At 38.2% G+C, this 18,965-nt stretch overlaps 1 protein-coding gene and 1 long non-coding RNA gene across 7 annotated transcripts in view, besides 1 other annotated feature; one reads left to right on the top strand and one right to left on the bottom strand.

Moving 5' to 3' along the window:
* Nucleotides 1–10,676, top strand: part of SSPN-AS1 (SSPN antisense RNA 1) — a 60,672-nt gene extending 49,996 nt beyond the window's left edge. Inside the window, exons 2-4 of one of the 2 annotated variants that reach the window (NR_187469.1) lie at nt 2,670–2,787; nt 7,055–7,115; nt 10,161–10,676. This is a non-coding gene — a long non-coding RNA (SSPN antisense RNA 1). The remainder of the gene's footprint in view (nt 1–2,669; nt 2,788–7,054; nt 7,116–10,160) is intronic. The other variant, NR_187468.1, reaches the window with a different exon arrangement.
* SSPN (sarcospan) overlaps nt 1–18,965 on the bottom strand; it is a 112,787-nt gene that overhangs the window by 12,946 nt on the left and 80,876 nt on the right. The window contains exon 1 of one of the 5 annotated variants that reach the window (XM_011520854.3): nt 7,715–8,024. The gene's annotated coding sequence lies outside the window, so the exon portion shown is untranslated. 5 annotated transcript variants of the gene reach the window in all.
* Nucleotides 6,670–6,839: an enhancer, noted in NCBI's record as "experimental_26866 CRE fragment used in MPRA reporter constructs". NCBI's record gives its function as "activates a minimal promoter by MPRAs in K562 erythroleukemia cells, with activity observed for the non-introgressed 12:26368011 variant allele {active_cell/tissue: K562}" and the evidence as "EXISTENCE:reporter gene assay evidence [ECO:0000049][PMID:34662402]".

The following is an 18,965-nucleotide window of genomic DNA, read 5'->3' as shown; positions in this document are numbered from 1 at the left end:
GCTTATATCCCTAGGCACATGCCTGTGAGTTTCTGTCTGTAGGTGCACAGGGTCAGGCTCTCCCACGTAACTGCCTTCTTCGCTAGAGACTACCAGCTGAAGTTGGCAATTACCAAGACTTTCCTCTTTGTCTCCATAAGAGACACATTCCAGTAATAAGGCCTAACTAGCACCTTAAAAATCTGATTCAGTGCGTCTACTTGAACAAAATTTCTAATTTCAGCAGTAGCTACTTCTTTGTAGCCTTCATTTACCCTGGCTTCCAGAAAGAAGTTGCATAGGAACACATGACCTCATTCTAGAGCATTTGACTTATTCAATTCACAGAATTTTATGGAGGACATACAATAAGCAGGCCCTGTGTTATTGTATGATCCTGGGAAATGAGAGATGGCAAAACAGGCCCTTACACCAAGGACTATCCAGCATCTAAGGATCTCCCAGTCCAGTGGGAAAAGAGAGGATAATGAGTTGGAATATTGTAAAAGTACTAGGACTACATCTGCTATAGGAATACCCAGAAGGAATGACTACCCTGATGAAAACTTCCTGGAGAAAGATGAGTTTTGAGGATATGCAGAAAGTGGCTAAAAGGAGAGTGTGAGGAAAGGTATTCTGTGCAGAGAGAGTAATAGTACGTGCAAAGGCATGAAGAAAGGCAGAGTAAACATTTGAGGATTCCTCTAGGTCCAGTGCAGAGAAAAAAAATAAAAGGCAAAAGATGTGTTTGCAGCAATAGGCAGGAAGTAGATCACAAAGGACTTTGATTTCAACTAGGACATTTTCAGCAGCAGAAGGGCATGGCTGACTTTGCCTTTTAGAATGGTCCTTCTGGCTATGAAGAATGGATTGGATGGGAGCAATTCTTGGGAAGAGAAGATCACCTAGAGGCCATTCTTCACCTGAGAAATGATAAGTGTCTGAGCTCAGGTAGAGGTAGGGATAGGGAGTGGGTGTGTTTGAGTGACAGTAAAAAAGCTGAATCCATAGGCTTTGAAGACTGATTAAGGTAAAGATGTAAGAGCTGAAGAGAGGGAGAGATCAGGAAGGTGCTGCCAGGTGGGTGGTGTGGACATTTAATGAGATAAGATAGAAAAGGAGGGGCAGAATGGGAGTGGGGAATGATGATCCCACGTGGACACAAATCACAACTATATGGGCTTAGAGCTCAGGAACGAGGCCTGGGTTGGAGACAAGGATTTGTTAGTCATCACCATATGTGAAGCAATTGACACCATAGGAAACAGTGGCCCATCCAGAGAGAGTCTGAAAACAGAAAAGGGCCCAGTTATGTTAGTTAGTTACCCAGTTATGAAGAATCTTTGAATTTTTTGAACAGAAAGCATCTCGGGTATATTTCTTATAATTATAGTTCTATGTCATGTCATATCTAAAAATCATGAAATGGATTATCCTTTTAGATTTGTCCTTTTAGATTTTTGAAAGCTTCAATTTAGGTTCTTGTACAGGGTATTTGCTATAAAGCTTAAATGTATTCAACATATTTTAATTTCTTGGCCTTCTGATAGGGCTTGATATGTTCTAAGGTGAGAGGGGACTGTCATTTTTTTTTTTTTTTTTTTTGCCTACAGCTTTGCATGTTGTAACAAGACTTCTTTATCAAAGAGTTTATTGATGTTCAGTGTAAGCATGTTTTAGAAGGGTAGGCTTTACTGGTACTGAAAACTGAAGGTTTTCTGGCCATGGAGAGAAAACCAGATTTCTCATGGTAGACTAATGGTTTTGTCTCCTGAGTTGGCAGGACGTGGACGTGCCAGGAAGACACGGCATTCTGGCTTCCCAGCAGGGAAGGGGGAGCTCATGTTAATGGGCAGTGAGACCCGTCAGGCCTATCTGGAATGACATTCCTAGAGTCCAGGCCAGAGCTCCCATTAGATATGGTGAGGTGAAGCCCATGGCACAGGAAAAGGGGAGTTATGTAAGGTTTTCAAGAAGGCGCTTGTTGGACCAGACACCCAGATGGTGGTGTCACAGAGCACAAAGGCAAATGGCACGTGTGTGGCACTGGGAAGGCTAGTGCTGAGAGGCAACAGGGCAACTAGCATTTAAGAGCTTGTTAAGATTTAGTCAATGTGCATGTAAATAATTAAGTCGATAAGAAAAGCTTAAAGTGATTTTTAATGGAAAAAAGAAAGACGGTAATCATCACTTTATTTTTGGATGTGTGTTTCTACAATTGGTTTAGCGTGAAGAGAAAACTGAAGTCCTAAATTCCACATTCTGCCTGAAGATATCTTTTTGTCCATGCAGAGTGAAGTCTGCATTCTCTCTTGTGAGCTAGAAAGTTAGACAGGGCTGAAATGGTCTCTGAATGTTAAATCCATTTTTTGTGGATGTGCGAGTCCTGAGTCTTGTCACACATTGTCTTTGTCTTTGTTATTTGGCCTATTATAACTGCAGTGGTGTCTTTTGAGGGTTTGTATTATGAATAAAAGGTAGATACTGGACCAGTGTCTCGGAGATTTACCTGCTTATTATTTTTTTTCCCTTTTGGTCTTGTCATAGCTGGAAGGTATCATCCTAAAACATTTTGTGAGAATGAGAATTATTGGTATTTACTCTCTCCATGTCATATGTATTTATATTCTGGTCTTGTGACATTCACACAACCTCCAATTTATTTGTTTTCTTCTTTTTGTTGTCAACAGAGCTGCTTGACAGGGTTGTCTGGGGAATACAACCTTACCCTGTCAAATGCCTTTCAATGTTTTTCTTCTCCTTCCTTACCCCCGTTTCATCGTGTACCTGCAATGGGACTCTATTTCTGTAAGTTAATCAACTTTCACCTTTGTATTTAAAGTGCTTTAATCCAATCAATATAGTAACAAGATGAACTCTCTTCTCATGTTTACAAAATCAATTGATCACCAAGAGAAGTAGCAGAACTGTAAATGTTTCTCCAGATATTTCTTAAGAGAATTTCTATGGATTGTCATCTATTTAATATACATTAAGATAAAGTATTAGAAGTGATTTTCAACAAATGATAAATATGTTACAGTCTGTTAATTGAGGATAGTCTTAGGAGGACTGTTAACACATAATAGACCAGAAAATTAAATGACATGCAACAGAACATTTCACACGGATCAATTAAAGGCTGCTTATCCAATCAAGATTCCAGAAAGACTGGAGAGAATATTTTAGCATGACTTAAACATTTTTACTGGATTCTCATTGCCACTGCCTTATGGTAAGACAAAGCCTAAGAGTGGTTCAGGATCACTTGAAAAGGTGGGTAAATATTGGTCTTATCCTCAGAATTTTTGATCCAATAGGTCTGGGGTGAGGACTGACAATTTGCATTTCTTTTTTTTTTTTAATTATACTTTAAGTTTTAGGGTACATGTGCACATTGTGCAGGTTAGTTACATATGTATACAGGTGCCATGCTGGTGCGCTGCACCCACTAACTCGTCATCTAGCATTAGGTATATCTCCCGATGCTATCCCTCCCCCCTCCCCCCTCCCCCCTCCCCCCTCCCCCCACCCCACAACAGTCCCCAGAGTGTGATATTCCCCTTCCTGTGTCCATGTGATCTCATTGTTCAATTCCCACCTATGAGTGAGAATATGCGGTGTTTGGTTTTTTGTTCTTGCGATAGTTTACTGAGAATGATGATTTCCAATTTCATCCATGTCCCTACAAAGGACATGAACTCATCATTTTTAATGGCTGCATAGTATTCCATGGTGTATATGTGCCACATTTTCTTAATCCAGTCTATCATTGTTGGACATTTGGGTTGGTTCCAAGTCTTTGCTATTGTGAATAATGCCACAATAAACATACGTGTGCATGTGTCTTTATAGCAGCATGATTTATAGTCCTTTGAGTATATACCCAGTAATGGGATGGCTGGGTCAAATGGTATTTCCAGTTCTAGATCCCTGAGGAATCGCCATACTGACTTCCACAATGGTTGAACTAGTTTACAGTCCCACCAACAGTGTAAAAGTTCCTATTTCTCCACATGATTATCTCAATAGATGCAGAAAAAGCCTTTGGCAAAATTCAACAACCTTTCATGCTAAAAACTCTCAATAAATTAGGTATTGATGGGACGCATTTCAAAATAATAAGAGCTATCTATGACAAACCCACAGCCAATATCATACTGAATGGGCAAAAACTGGAAGCATTCCCTTTGAAAACTGGCACAAGACAGGGATGCCCTCTCTCACCACTCCTATTCAACATAGTGTTGGAAGTTCTGGCCAGGGCAATTAGGCAGGAGAAGGAAATAAAGGGTATTCAATTAGGAAAAGAGGAAGTCAAATTGTCCCTGTTTGCAGACGACATGATTGTATATCTAGAAAACCCCATTGTCTCAGCCCAAAATCTCCTTAAGCTGATAAGCAACTTCAGCAAAGTCTCAGGATACAAAATCAATGTACAAAAATCACAAGCATTCTTATACACCAACAACAGACAAACAGAGAGCCAAATCATGAGTGAACTCCCATTCACAATTGCTTCAAAGAGAATAAAATACCTAGGAATCCAACTTATAAGGGACGTGAAGGACCTCTTCAAGGAGAACTACAAACCACTGCTCAAGGAAATAAAAGAGGATACAAACAAATGGAAGAACATTCCATGCTCATGGGTAGGAAGAATCAATATCGTGAAAATGGCCATACTGCCCAAGGTAATTTACAGATTCAATGCCATCCCCATCAAGCTACCAATGCCTTTCTTCACAGAATTGGAAAAAACTACTTTAAAGTTCATATGGAACCAAAAAAGAGCTCGCATCACCAAGTCAATCCTAAGCCAAAAGAACAAAGCTGGAGGCATCACACTACCTGACTTCAAACTATACTACAAGGCTACAGTAACCAAAACAGCATGGTACTGGTACCAAAACAGAGATATAGATCAATGGAACAGAACAGAGCCCTCAGAAATAACGCCGCATATCTACAACTATCTGATCTTTGACAAACCTGAGAAAAACAAGCAATGGGGAAAGGATTCCCTATTTAATAAATGGTGCTGGGAAAACTGGCTAGCCATATGTAGAAAGCTGAAGCTGGATCCCTTCCTTACACCTTATACAAAAATCAATTCAAGATGGATTAAAGACTTAAATGTTAGACCTAAAACCATAAAAACCCTAGAAGAAAACCTAGGCATTACCATTCAGGACATAGGCATGGGCAAGGACTTCATGTCTAAAACACCAAAAGCAATGGCAACAAAAGCCAAAATTGACAAATGGGATCTAATTAAACTAAAGAGCTTCTGCACAGCAAAAGAAACTACCATCAGAGTGAACAGGCAACCTACAGAATGGGAGAAAATTTTTGCAAGCTACTCATCTGACAAAGGGCTAATATCCAGAATCTACAATGAACTCAAACAAATTTATAAGAAAAAAACAAACAACCCCATCAAAAAGTGGGCGAAGGACATGAACAGACACTTCTCAAAAGAAGACATTTATGCAGCCAAAAAACACATGAAAAAATGCTCATCATCACTGACAATTCGCATTTCTAACAAATTCCCAGGAAATGCTGATGCTGCCGGTGCTGGGATGAACCTTTTGAGAACCACTAGGCTAAGCTGTAAGCCCAGTGTTCTAAATGCTGATGTCTGGTGTAGGGTTTATCGAAATGGTTAGGGGTCCAGAGTGACACACTGACTAGTAGAATTTCTTATAGAGAGTCATTTATTATAAACAATAATATACTACTACTACTAATATACCATTTATGAATATTTACAGAGTGTTAAGCCCCGTGCTGAACACTTGACATGTATTCTTGCATTTAATCATCTCAAGAATGCATTTTTCAAGGGAGAGAAAACTGATGTTTTAGAAATGTAAAAGGCTAGATATACATTCATTGCCCCTGAATTGTTTGTATTACTATTGTGTTATAAAGGTGTTGGCTCCATTTGTTTCCCCATAAAGAAATTTAGTCTCTGCTATCATAGGAGTCCTTCAAATTGGGGGAGAAATCCCCATGTCTTCATTGCTATTTAAATATGACCTCATTGCAGAGCCTGTTTCCTCAATGTATCTGACTGGTGGTTTGAGGAACATCTCTAAATCATTCAGTGTGATGTGGCATTCTGCTATTGTTAAGGGGCATCAGCCACTCTAACCCAAAGCAAAACAATCACCTCTAAAATTGCACCACCTCTCCAGTGGTGTGATGGTAAATGTCTAACAACCAGTTAGAGAAAGGCTATTTGTAGCATTTGCTAATTTCCATGGTGTGACTACTTCTACCATGGCTGATTTCAAGATAACCAACACAAAGTCACTGAGCAAAGTTGTGAAGAGATGCATGCAATCAGCTGTCACAAGTCCATCAGCAATGCTCCAGCATGCTTCTGCACCTCCACCCCATTTCTGCCTTTTCTGGGTCCCTCTTTTGACAGAAGTATCTCATTAACAAGTGAGATTGGTTTGTATCTAAGTTTGGCACATTACTCATTACTAATTGCTTGGAATCCCTACAATCAGCCTACAGAATCTGTATAAAGATACAGAGGAGAGTGCCAAGGAGAAATCATAGTACTTATTTCCTGATTTGTGGGAATAGAGGAAGAATGGTTACAGCATAATCTTTGAGATCTTGCTATCAATGGCCACCCTAATCTAGGTATCACTCTCCAACAGAATTTAGCTCAACCTTTACTGTGGTAGGGACCGGGAGTATAAAGAAGAAGATATGGTCTTTGCCCTTTAGAAAATCACAGTTTAATCCCCAGAGGAACTGAGGCACAGGAAAATGTATTGCCAAGGGTAATGTCATTTGACCAGTCCATGCCAGATGTGAATATGAGCAGCTGACAGCAGCTTATACAACCCCCACCTTGCTGATCACTTATCAAAATCCCTCATCCATTTTATAATGTAAGAAGCATTGAATCAGCTTCCCCCAATGTGTTTTTTTTTAAAGGCAAAATTTTTGGTGTTAATCACATAGGGCTTAAATATGGTAGAATTATGAATGATATCCCCTTCCTATATTTGTTATTATTATTATTAATTCTTTTTCATTATATTTTTAGGTAAAAGCAAGATAAAGGAACACAAAATGTACTCTTTCCCTAATTGGATAAAGTGAGAAAGGTGAAAATGGCGCAAAGCATGAAACATCAAGTAACAGTTCATTCAATAAATGATAACTGCTTATTTGATTCTGTAAAATCAAGTATAGAACTATACACATAATTAAGGAGACAGGGTTACACAGTGGTAAGAACATGGGCATTAAAGTTTGCATCTTGACTCAAATTACTTTGCTAGCTAAATGATCTTGGACAAAGCTGTTTAATTGTTTTTAGCCTCAGTTTCCCTACCTATAAAATGGAGACAATAATGTCATGGTCACATAGCAAATATACTGTATATCACAGAATTGATGGCTGTGCTGTCAGAGTGCAGAGCCTGGCTCTTAGCCACTGCATGGTACAGCCACCTGCCTGAAGGAATCCTGACAGCACTATAAGCAAGAACTGCAGAGATCTGAAGAACATTCTACCATCTGCTCCTCTCCTGAATTGCTGAAGCACCAATCCTAAGGCAGTGTGAAAAAGAAAGTCTTTGAGGTCCAAATGACCATGCAGGCTGGGGGACCGTGACTTAGTCATTGAGACTCAGTCTTATCACATACAAAATGGAGAAAATGACAGTTAATAATTGGCTTTTAAATATCATAAATAACGTGCCTGGAATTGTAGTAGGTGTTTTCCCCCATCTCACAGGAACTCAAACTGTGCTCAAATTCAAGCTGAAAATGAATAACAGATGTAAATATAAGCACTCAGTCACAACTTAGAAATCGTCTCATTCTGCTCATTTAACAAATATTCCTTGTGTAACTACCATGTGCCAGGTACTCTTTGAGGCTTGGAGATACTACAGTGAAAAGAAGAGAGAAAAATCCCTACCTTGATGGGGCTAAAGTGGAGAGGCAGACCATAAACAAATAAGTAGATAGATAACCTGTCAGCTGTTGAGAAGAGCTATGGAGAATGTAGCAATTATCATCATAGCTTCTTTTCCCAACAAACATGACATACAGTGATTAGTAAAATACAAATAATAAATCCTTAAAGTGATATGTTCTCCCTTAAAAAATGAATTGGTAATGCCCAGCAACCCTTTAAAAAAAAGTAGATGTTTGAGAGCCTTGCTGGCTCTGTTATTTCAACAACATGCATCCACTATAAGTATCTAAGAATTCACAGGATTCATAGACAACCTATGAATGCCCCCGAGAAAGGACAACAAAAGGGAACTGTGAAGTATTACAGCAAAATGGGCCACATACCTAAAGACAGAGAACAAGGTGGTGCATGCATGTTAGCTCTGGGTCTAGTGAAATGGTTCAAAACCCACCTCCACCACTTTCTAGCTGACTGATGAAGTTAACCCTTGGAGCCTCGGTTTCATCATCTCTAGGATGATATTTTGCTTTCATAGCAAGGACCCACTTTTCAAAAATCTTTCCAACAATGTTAACATAGTTTGCAAATACCTAAGAGTTATAAAACTTCTTTTCCTGACTCTTTTTATTTCTGTTACAAACCTATATATAATCTACTACCCAGGAAATGCCAATCTTAGGAACTATGTCCCATGCCCAGCTGCATGTTTCTCTGATTACACTACTGTGGTTTTACAATGACAATCATTTAATTTCTGGAAAAAAAAATGCTTTTCAATTAAAACTATTTTTCTGGCCATATGAGATCCTCAAGTTAATATTACTTTTTTAAAAAACACAATTGTTTCAGCCAAACTTAGTGTGCAGATATCCATGGCGAATTCCAGAAGTAATAGGGGCGCAAATATAAAGCGAAGAGTTTACGGCAGAACTGACCACCAAGAGGAGGGAAGCATTGTAACAATCTGTCTCTAAACACTAACATTAGTGGACCAGCGTTAAAACTCAGAGCACTAATTATAACCTTGAAAAAAAAGTTTTTTCTTCATTTTATCTAACCAAGCTCAAAATAGAAGCTTCTTTTTCACTGTGAACAAAATCGTAGCTAGCAACAACTTTTTATGTCTAGGAAGCTTTGCGAATGACTACTTTATTTGGCCTATGATATATCTGGAAGATTTTCAATGCCTTTTCATTTGTCTTAGGTATTGCCAACCCCAGAGCTTCACTGATTTTACTTTTTTTTTTTCATTAGAGTAAAAGTTGCCGATGAAAAGCTCTAGTGTAGAAATCCTATTTATGGAAGAACTAAGTTCTGCCTGCCCACGAGGGGTTTGGGTTTCGACACAGAGCCTCATCTGGTCATTTCCACATCTTTCCAGGGAGTTGGGGGAAACAATTTGTAATACTGACTTTGCAAAGATGACATGCGAGATTATTTTTAAAAGAAGATGGTAAAAATCCAGGTCAAAATTTCTCAGGGAAAAGTCAATTCTAGACAAGAAATTCTATCACAGAAAAGTATTTCCTTTCAGGATCTAAAGAGAAAAGACACTTGCTCAATCACACCTAAGTCTAGCTCATGTTTAACATCCACCCCTTTATTATTTTAACTGTCATTCTACCTGAGGAGTTGATATCTGACAGGTCTACATCTGAATTATTGTAAATGTATGTATTTTCATATGAGCATGCAAAGACATTCAAAGTAAACAAAAATAAATGCTAATTAATTAAATTATAATGCAAAAGCAGGGCTTCCTCACCTACAACTTTGTTAAATTTAGATCTCTTTGGAAAACACATTGTAAAAACAAAATATCTAAGAATTTATGGGCAATTTTCTTAAGAAAATTTTGCTCATGCATTTGCCAGAAATGAGAATGGATTCACCAGTACTTTGTGATAAAAGTTCTGATTGGTTGGTAAAGAAGTATGGAATACTTATGTGCCAAGCCAAAGCGCTTTGTATGGCTAGATACATGCTTTCTAATTCAAAGTGGTAGGTTTTGTCATTGTTTGAAACTACTTGATAACTAGAATTTTATATAATTTTTCCCACCAAAGTTACATTGTAATTTGCATTGCTGTGTAGTTTAGCCAGATCTGTTGTCCAAGCACAGAAAGAGTGGGAAGAAAAATGTGCTTGTTAAGTGACTGCCCTGTTTCTCAGCACACACTGTGCTTTGCAGATGTTCACTTGTATCTCCTATGTTGCTTTATAGGATATTAGAAAACCACCCAATGGAACTGATAAAAATGAGTTGGAACTTGTGACCAGCAGCTGGATGAGAGGAGTGTGAATCCCCCAAATCTTATGGATATAGTGTGCTTTCTTTGATGTTCCTGCCAAAGTGAGGCTGGAAAGCTAGGAAGATCTGTAAGACGTGTGCCAGCACAAAGTGACTACAATTCAAAAGTTCCAAAAACCTTGCTTGAAACAATTGCAAATAGCTCATCATTTTAAACCAGTGAACCCAAGGCTGAGTGTTTCATCAATTTACAGAAAACCAAGAAGAGAAATCTGACAGCTATCCCAGTGTATGACTTACCATGGAGATCTTCAAATAGAATCACTTTGGTTTGGGTCTCATTTTCATATTATAACACAAATTTGTGTATGTGGGTTAAGATTCATATTTGATAGGAACTGCTGGGAATTCTTGCAGTTATATCCTCAAAAGACAAAATAAGCATAACCAACAGAATTGTGAAGCAATAAAGTTGATTATGGATGAAAACTGGGCTGAACAGTCATAGGACATGACTTGTTCCTTTGACCTAAAATGTGCTTTTCTTTCCTTATCTACCCAGTGTAATGGTACTACTCTTTCAACCATCTTGAATTCACTCACACTTATTCGTCAAATCCTGCTCAGCTATTCCCACTACCCACAAAGTGTACCTTTTTCGTATTCCTTACTTTTTATACATTAGCTCATTTTCCCCCAAACAATGCAATAAAGTAAAAAATATTACTCTATTTTATAGAAACTTGCAGCTCAGAAAGGATAAGAAACTTGCAAGTTGATCCAAAATAAATTTCTAAAAAGCATCAAAAGGTTTCATTTCTGCATAATATTAAGGACTAAATTATAGGAAAACTCTCTCCCTATAAAACACTGTAAAATGCTGGATAAAACGTAGCATCCCTTATAAAATGAAAAAACAATTAGCCCACTAGCACTGGAAGTCATCAAGAAAATTGTTCTGTCTCAACAGATGCAGGGGGGCAGTTTGAGGTTTTTCTACTACTTTCCTAGTCCTGGAACCTATTAAGATGAGAAAGTAACATGAAAGTGATCCTGAAAAAATAAACCAAAACCTGGCTATTTCAATAAATAAATTGTAAGGGGGAGAGAGACAGAGACAGAGAGAGAGAGACACAGAGAGAGAGAATAGAAAGGAGAGACAAAGGGTAAATTTTTGAGTAAAGGAAATGTTAGAAATATATGAGTCAACTGCAGTGTATAGATCTTATTGAGATCCTGATTTTGACAAATCTAGGAGGAACTATTAATGAGTTAATCATGGATATTTAAACAGTGGTTTGATTCTATTAAGAAATTAACTTGTTAGGTGTATTATTAGTATATTGATTATTTTTTAGTCTTCATCTTTCGACTTACATAGCAAAATATTTATAAATAAAATGATATAAAGTCTGGGATTTAGTGCAAAATAATCCACTGTGTAGTGTGTGTAGTGTGTGGGTGTGGAGGAAATATAGGAGCATACAGATAAGACAAGATTGAGCATGAGTTGATAGTTATCAAGGCTCGGTGATGAGAATATAGAGGTTCATTATACAATTGTATCTACTCTTGTGTATGCTTGAAATTTTTCATAATAAGTAAGTTAAGGAAACAAAGTGGTTCTAGGCCTGTAACATCACTGGGACATATGGCAAGACAAACCCATCTGGAAGGGTTGTACTCTCAAATAGGCTATATCAAGTTATCATACATAAAGCCTCTTGGAAGATGAACTCACAAACCAAAATTAGCAAACACTTGAAGAATTAATTATTAGTGAAGGCTAGCTCTTACATGCATGTACACACACACACACACACACACACACACACACACACACACACACGCTCTAAGAATCAGAGCTATAAGAATTCCAAATAATGGAAGTAATGAGCAGAGCCTATAAAAAGTACATTCAAAACAAACACATGAAGGAAGGAACTGAAAACATAAAGAACAGGACAGTTTTTAAAGCACCAGGGATATGTGAAAATAACATCAGTAACAACATCAGTGAGTTCTAGAATGAAAAATTAAAATTGCTGGCAGTAAAAACTCAAAGGACAAGTAAAAGGCAGATTAAACCTAAATGAAGAAGGGAAAAGTGAACCAGAAAATCTGAGAAAATAACCCAAGATACAGCACAGAGAGATAAAGAGAGATGAAACATACTAGACAGGATAAGAAATATGGAGGGAGAATAAGAAGATTCTAAATATACATCTGACAGCAATTCCAGGCAAAGGGAACAAACTTAATTTTAAAATTGAGTATAGAACCCTAAACCCCAAAATGAGAGAATCCACATTTTTCCCAAGCATTCAAGAACTGTTTATGAAGATTGGTCACAAAATAAGTCTAATCAAATATCAAATAATTGATATGAAAAACACATGAACTGAGCACAAAGCAACTAAAGTGAACTCAATAATCAAAAGACCAGATAAAAGACATTAGAGAAGACTCAAATAAATGGTGAGATCATCTTTGGTCATGTATAGAAAGTACAAATCCCAGGAAATTACCAAAAGTATTTTTCTTGGAACTTGAAAAGCCTATTCTAAAGTGTATATGCAAGAGAAAATGGCTAAGATTCACTGAGAAAATTTTGAAGAAGAATAAAATGAAGGAGGGTGGGTTGGGGGTGGGCTGCTTATCCATCATCTTTATAACAAGATGCATTATAGCATCATTTTAATTTAGACAATGGTATTGGCATAGTGATAGCCAAATAAAACAATAGAACTAAGGAAAATCACAAAGCAAATCTAATATGGAAACTTGACAGATGATAAATGGGTGTAACAGATCACTATGAAAGGGACCGATTATTTATTAAACGGTGCTAAAACAATTATCAATCCATGTGAGAAAAAATGTATGGACCCTTCACATCATTGCAAAAAGAAACCACTTATAATAAAGATATGAATACCCAAAAGCAAACCTTTAACATTTTTAGAAAATGGTATAGAAAAATATTTTTATGGCCTTGGAGTAGGGAAAAATTTCTTTAAACTACATCAAATCCATAAAAAAAAGAACTGATAAATATAAATATATGAAGATTAAATCTTTTTTCATAACAAAACACCATAAATAAAAGATATGATACCAACCAGAAAAAGATATTTGTAGTACCTAAAACCATAAAGATTAAGTAACAAAAGTAACAAATCCTATAAATAAATAAGAAACGAACAACCCATAGAAAATATTTTTTGAATAAATAAATGATAGAACACAAAATAAAATGGCCAATCAACATAAAATATGTTCAATTCCAGTAGCAACACCAAAATGCAAATTAAAACAAGATACCATTGCACACAAATAAGATAGGTAAAGAACTCTGATTTACCACTGGTGGAGGTGAGGTGTAAGTTAGTCCAATTTGGATTTGTGGTAGTGACTTGGCAATAGCTAGTAATTTGACGATGTCTATATCTTATGACCCAACAATTTGACTTCTAGGAATATGCCTTAACAAGACTTTATGTGCACAGGGAGTTATAGACAAGAATATCCACTGTAACACCGTAAATGCAAAATAAAAAATCATTTTTGAAAACAAATTTTCTTCAACAAGAGAATGAATTAACTGTTATATATCCCCCCCCCCCACCACCACCACTTTCTTTTGAGACAGGGTCTTGCTCTGTTGCCCAGGCTGAAGTGCGGTGGTGCGATCATGGCTCACCACTGTCTCAACCTCCCAGGTTCAAATGATCCTCCCACCTCAGCCTCCTGAGTAGCTGGAACAACAGGCATCTGCCACCACACCCAGCTAATTTCTCTACAAAAAGTATTTTTTGTAGAGACGGGGTTTTGCCATGTTGCCCAGGCTTGAACTCCTAGGCTCAAGCAATCCTCCCGCCTTGGCCTCCCAAAGTGCTGGGATTACAGGTGTGAGCCACTGTACCTGGCCAATGTTGTATATTCCTAACAGTGAAATTCAGTATAGCAAACATGAATGAATGATATCTGTGTACTATTATAAATAAATCTCAAAAACGATGTTGAGCAGAAATGATATGATACCATCTGTATAAAAATTAAAATATGACATGTTGGTTATGGATATATACAAATTTTCAAAGTATGAAAACAGGCTTATGCATAAAAAATACCAAATTCAGGATAGTACATATCTCTGGGGAAGATGGGAGGGGTAGGGGAATTTGATTAAGAAATGAAACATGGGAGACTTCAATACAATGTAATGTTTCCTTTCTTAAAAAATAATAAAAAAGCAATTATTACAAAATACTAAAATTTAGCAAAGCTAGGAATGGATAAGTGGGCATTTTTTTCTATGTTATTATGCATTATTTTCTATGTTATTATGCAATTGAAATGTTTATAATTTTAAAAAGCATAGAATTGCACAGAATTACTGACATTTGTTCAAATTCACATAGAAATGAAAATTTAAAAATCATTACCAAATATTTTTTGGAAAATGATTCTACATTAGTAGAGCCAGAATTCTACCCTTACTCCAAAGCTGGAGTCATTCCTCAAATTTCAGACCCCCTCTCCTTTCTTTTTCTGATCTTACCCTGAGGGTTCATCATGTTCTTCTCTGCGCTAGCACGGTACATTGTTTAAGGCACCACCTTGGCATTTTGTTTTTAAAACTAAATTGCAGTTAGTTGTACCTGTGTTTCCTCACCCAGAGACTAAGCTCTTGGGGGCACCATACCTGGTATATGAAAATACAGAGGGAGAGTGGCTAGGGTGTGGCTTCTACTCCTAACTAACTCTTGTGATGACTTACCAAAAACTAATCACCAAGTTCTATAAATACTTATTCTTGCAAAATAATCAATTTCCAAAGAATGTAAGAGAATCAAAGATTGTGTTCCAGCCTTTCTCATGAATCAACAGGAGGGGCAGAATTGTTACAAACAGTATTTGTGGGAAGAAATAAACAACCTATAGTTTATTTGTTTCACTTGGGGATTTTCAAGCCCTCAGAAGAGGGAAAGGAATCTTGCTGATGTGGATTGAGCCTACTCCGGTGGTATAGTCATGGGCTGGATTTCATTACTTAGCCATAATTAAGTCAGTTCTCAAATTAGGTCCCATTCTAGAAATGACTGCAGAGATAATTCTATATTAAACTCCTGGGTTCATATATGTTGAATAGTACAATAAATATAAACATATTAAATAGCACAGTGCATAGAAATTATACAGTAAATCAATATAAATTGAATTATGTAACATTGGAATGGGATTGTAAATGAGAGAACCATCTTGTTCAACCTTTAAAAATATTATCAAGTGGCTTTTCTAATTGAGAGTACTTTATGAAAAACAGTATGAGGGAACATAAAGTAATATATATTATAATATTACTTCTCCTTTGAAAGTGTTTTGTCCTTTTCAACATGAGGAGGTCAGTGTCCCCAAGCAGCCTGCAGCCTCTCCTACATTTCCCCCTCGCCTCCCATGGCAACACGGGTTAGCCAGACACTGAGCTTTTTGTGATGTGTGTGTGAGGACAGAGAGAAGGGGAGCAAAGCTTCAGGGAGGTCTTGAGGTGGAAAAATTTGTGACGCACACGATTTGGTGACTGAAGAAGAATTCTTTCTTGAGGGTTCTATAACACAATAGTTACGGTCACCCTATGTGCATTTAAAAATTCCTAGTTGGTCTCAAGCCCTTAATGCACACCGAAGCCCTTTAAGAGGCTTCTCAAACTACTTGTTCATGGAAAGATTATGAGACAAAGCCAACCTGTGTGGGTTTGGTCCTTCTGTTTCAGAACCTGACTACCAAAGAGCCTGGGAGAAGTACATAAACTTATTGAACATGTAACTCATAAACTAAAAGATTCAAACTCTGTACACAGAATTCTGTATGCGGTCATGAAGAAATCCCTTCTCATTTATGATCATACATTTGCCTTAGGGAGTCCGAGTTTGCCCTCTTCACTGCCTTGGGTGCCCCACTATCTTCCTGAGGTAGGCACAGTCCTCCTGCAAGTTTCTCCCTGAGAGAAGAGCACCTCCAACCTCCAACAGAATTGATGAGGACTGAAATGCTGTTGCCCTTGTCTTAGAAAATGCCTCCTTCATAGCTTTCCTGGCATAGCTAAATGTGAGATAGGGCTAAGCCTGTGAGATCAGGCTAATGGCCTGATATGCATGCCACACCTGATACTTTAGAAGGAAGCCAGCCAAGGAAGTGTTTTTTCCCCCACTTAGTAATAAAGCTAAAATTCTCTCGCTCGTCAAAGTCTAGTTAACACATTAGCAGCCCCCTCCCCCTTTTCTGGTCTCCTGTCATTATCTTCCATACAAGAGAGAGGGCTTGATAATAACATATCTTAAAGGGGTTTTTAATTGCTCCTTACAGTGAATGCTGAATCTAACGCTTTAAAAACAACTGAGTAGAATGCCACTTAAAAGCGCTTCCTCCAGGTTTCTCACCACCTCTCTCAGTACCACGGCACTCCCAGCCAGGGGAGAGTTGCTCATTTCTGCAAAGATTAGAAGCAGGTCCAACAGAACTTCTTCAGCAGAATCTGAGAATGCTCATTTGTGAACAAACTGTCTGCTTTCCAACGTCCCGTCACTTACTGGACTTTTGCCAGCCCCAGGAAACACCATAATGAAACACTCACATTTATGAAATTCACAATTAGGGACCGTGGCTCTAGCAACATTAGCTCAGAGAGCATCAACTTTAAATATGCTCAAAAATCAAACTGGAGAGCTTACAGTATCCCATCGTGGCCATCCCTTTTCGTTTTGGAACTGAGATTGGACCAATTGTTATGAAAGGCTGCATGTTTTAGTCTTCCCTGGTCTTTCCCTCTTGGGTGGCTTGGGTTTGTGCAATACAGTACTTAGTGAAGGAAAAGCAGAGCCCAGCTCAGGACTTCTTAAGTGAGGGAACAGAATCCAATGAGAAGCCCTTAAATGTGTGTCAAAATGAAGATCTACCAAAGAGTGAAGGCACCTACTAAAGGCTATTACCTCATAAGGCTCAAAGGGCGGGTGGGGGGTGCCCACAGTATGCAATCACCACCCCCCACAGGACAGCAGGCTTGGTCAATGGCTGAACATATAAGCATTCCCCAATGGTACCACTCAGCCAGCCACCTTTGCATCAGAAGCCAAAGTATCCTTGAGCTACATCTTGACATCAGGATACTCCCTGGAGCATAAAGAAATGCAGGAATTTACAGCGTGGAGGTTCCTAAGCCTTAAAGAGTTAATGCAGCAAAGGAAATGCCTAAGTTAACCTTAGAATTGTATTCACTAGCTAGATTTACTTGATTTTATTTTTACAGAAATTTGACAAAAGAAGCAATCTGTAAATGCAATGAAAACAGCTTCCTCCATATGTCTCACTACTGGCATGAGCACGGAGCCGCGCCACCCCATCGTACCTCCGTGTGTCAGATTACGGGCTCAGAATACCCCTCGGAAACACTCAGACTTCTAGCTGTTCCAAGAAAGCCGTAGGGCTTTCAATAATAAGCTGTAAAACGAGCTTAAGAGTCACTGAGGTTGCTGTGCAAATGTATAACCCTCACCGGAAATGCTATGGACTGAATTGTGTCCCCGTAAGTCATATGTTGAAGCTGTAACCTCAAAAGTAACTATATTTGGAGATAGGGCTTTTAGGAGGTAATTAAGGTTAAATAAGATCCTAAGCATGGGGTCCTAATCCAACAGGACTGGAGGATTCATGAGAAGAGGAAGAGAAAGAGATCTCTTCTTCTCTTCACATGCATGAACTGAGAAAAGACCATGTGAGCACACAGCAAGAAGGCAGCCGCCTGCAAGCCAGGAAGAGAACCCTCCCTAGCCCCTGACCATGTTGACACCCTGATCTTGGACTTCCCGTCTCCAGAACTGTGAGAAAATGAATGTTTGCTGTTTAAGTCACCCAGTCTACGGTATTTTGTTATAGCAGCCTGAGCCGACTAAGACAGAAAGAAAAATGTATTTTAGTTAATGCCATATGTGTAGGTGTACACATATGAATTTTAAAATTAACCAGGGTGATGGAGTGAGCTGCTTCACTCAGGCATCTGACAGTTACTCTTGCCAAGTTTTATCTCAATACACAGAGATCTGAGACTGCATCCAAAGCATCTGAAAGAGGGTGTGCCTATGGAATAGGTTTTTATATAGCTTATGCTGTAAAGCCTGTTCCTAGCATCTATTTTTTTAAAAGAAGTTCACTGTAAGCTTATGAACTCATCGTGATAAACCTAGACTTGAACATTTACAGCAAATAATAACTGGAAGGTTAAACTATGACATCATGAGGTCCCATCCAGCTCTGGATTTTGATGGACATTTTTTGACCAGTACTTCCTTAGTTTGCCAGGATGGAAGACCTAAAAATGAACTGCATTTTGCAGTGAATTATACCTAATTAAAGTTTAATGACTAGATTACATTCCTGTCTGATATGGTTTGATTCTGTGTCCCCACCCAAATCTCTCTTGAATTGTAATCCCCATGTGTTGAGGGGGAAACCTGGTGGAAGGTGGTTTGATCATGGGGGTGGTTCCCCCTATGCTCTTCTCATGAGAAGATGAGATAGTGAGTTCTCATGAGATCTGATGGCTTATAAGTGGCAGTTTCCCCAGTGCTCTCTCTCCTGCAGCCCTGTAAGATATGATTTGCTTCTCCTTTGCCTTCTGCCATGATTGTAAGTTTCCTGAGGCCTCCTCAGCCATGTGGAATTGTCAGTCAATTAAACCTCCTTTCTTTATAAATTAGTCTCACGTAGTATCTTTATAGC

The sequence above is a fragment of the Homo sapiens genome, chromosome 12 (assembly GCF_000001405.40).
Source record: "Homo sapiens chromosome 12, GRCh38.p14 Primary Assembly".
NCBI classification, from domain to species: Eukaryota; Metazoa; Chordata; class Mammalia; order Primates; family Hominidae; genus Homo; species Homo sapiens.
This window is presented reverse-complemented; position numbering and strand designations above follow the sequence as displayed.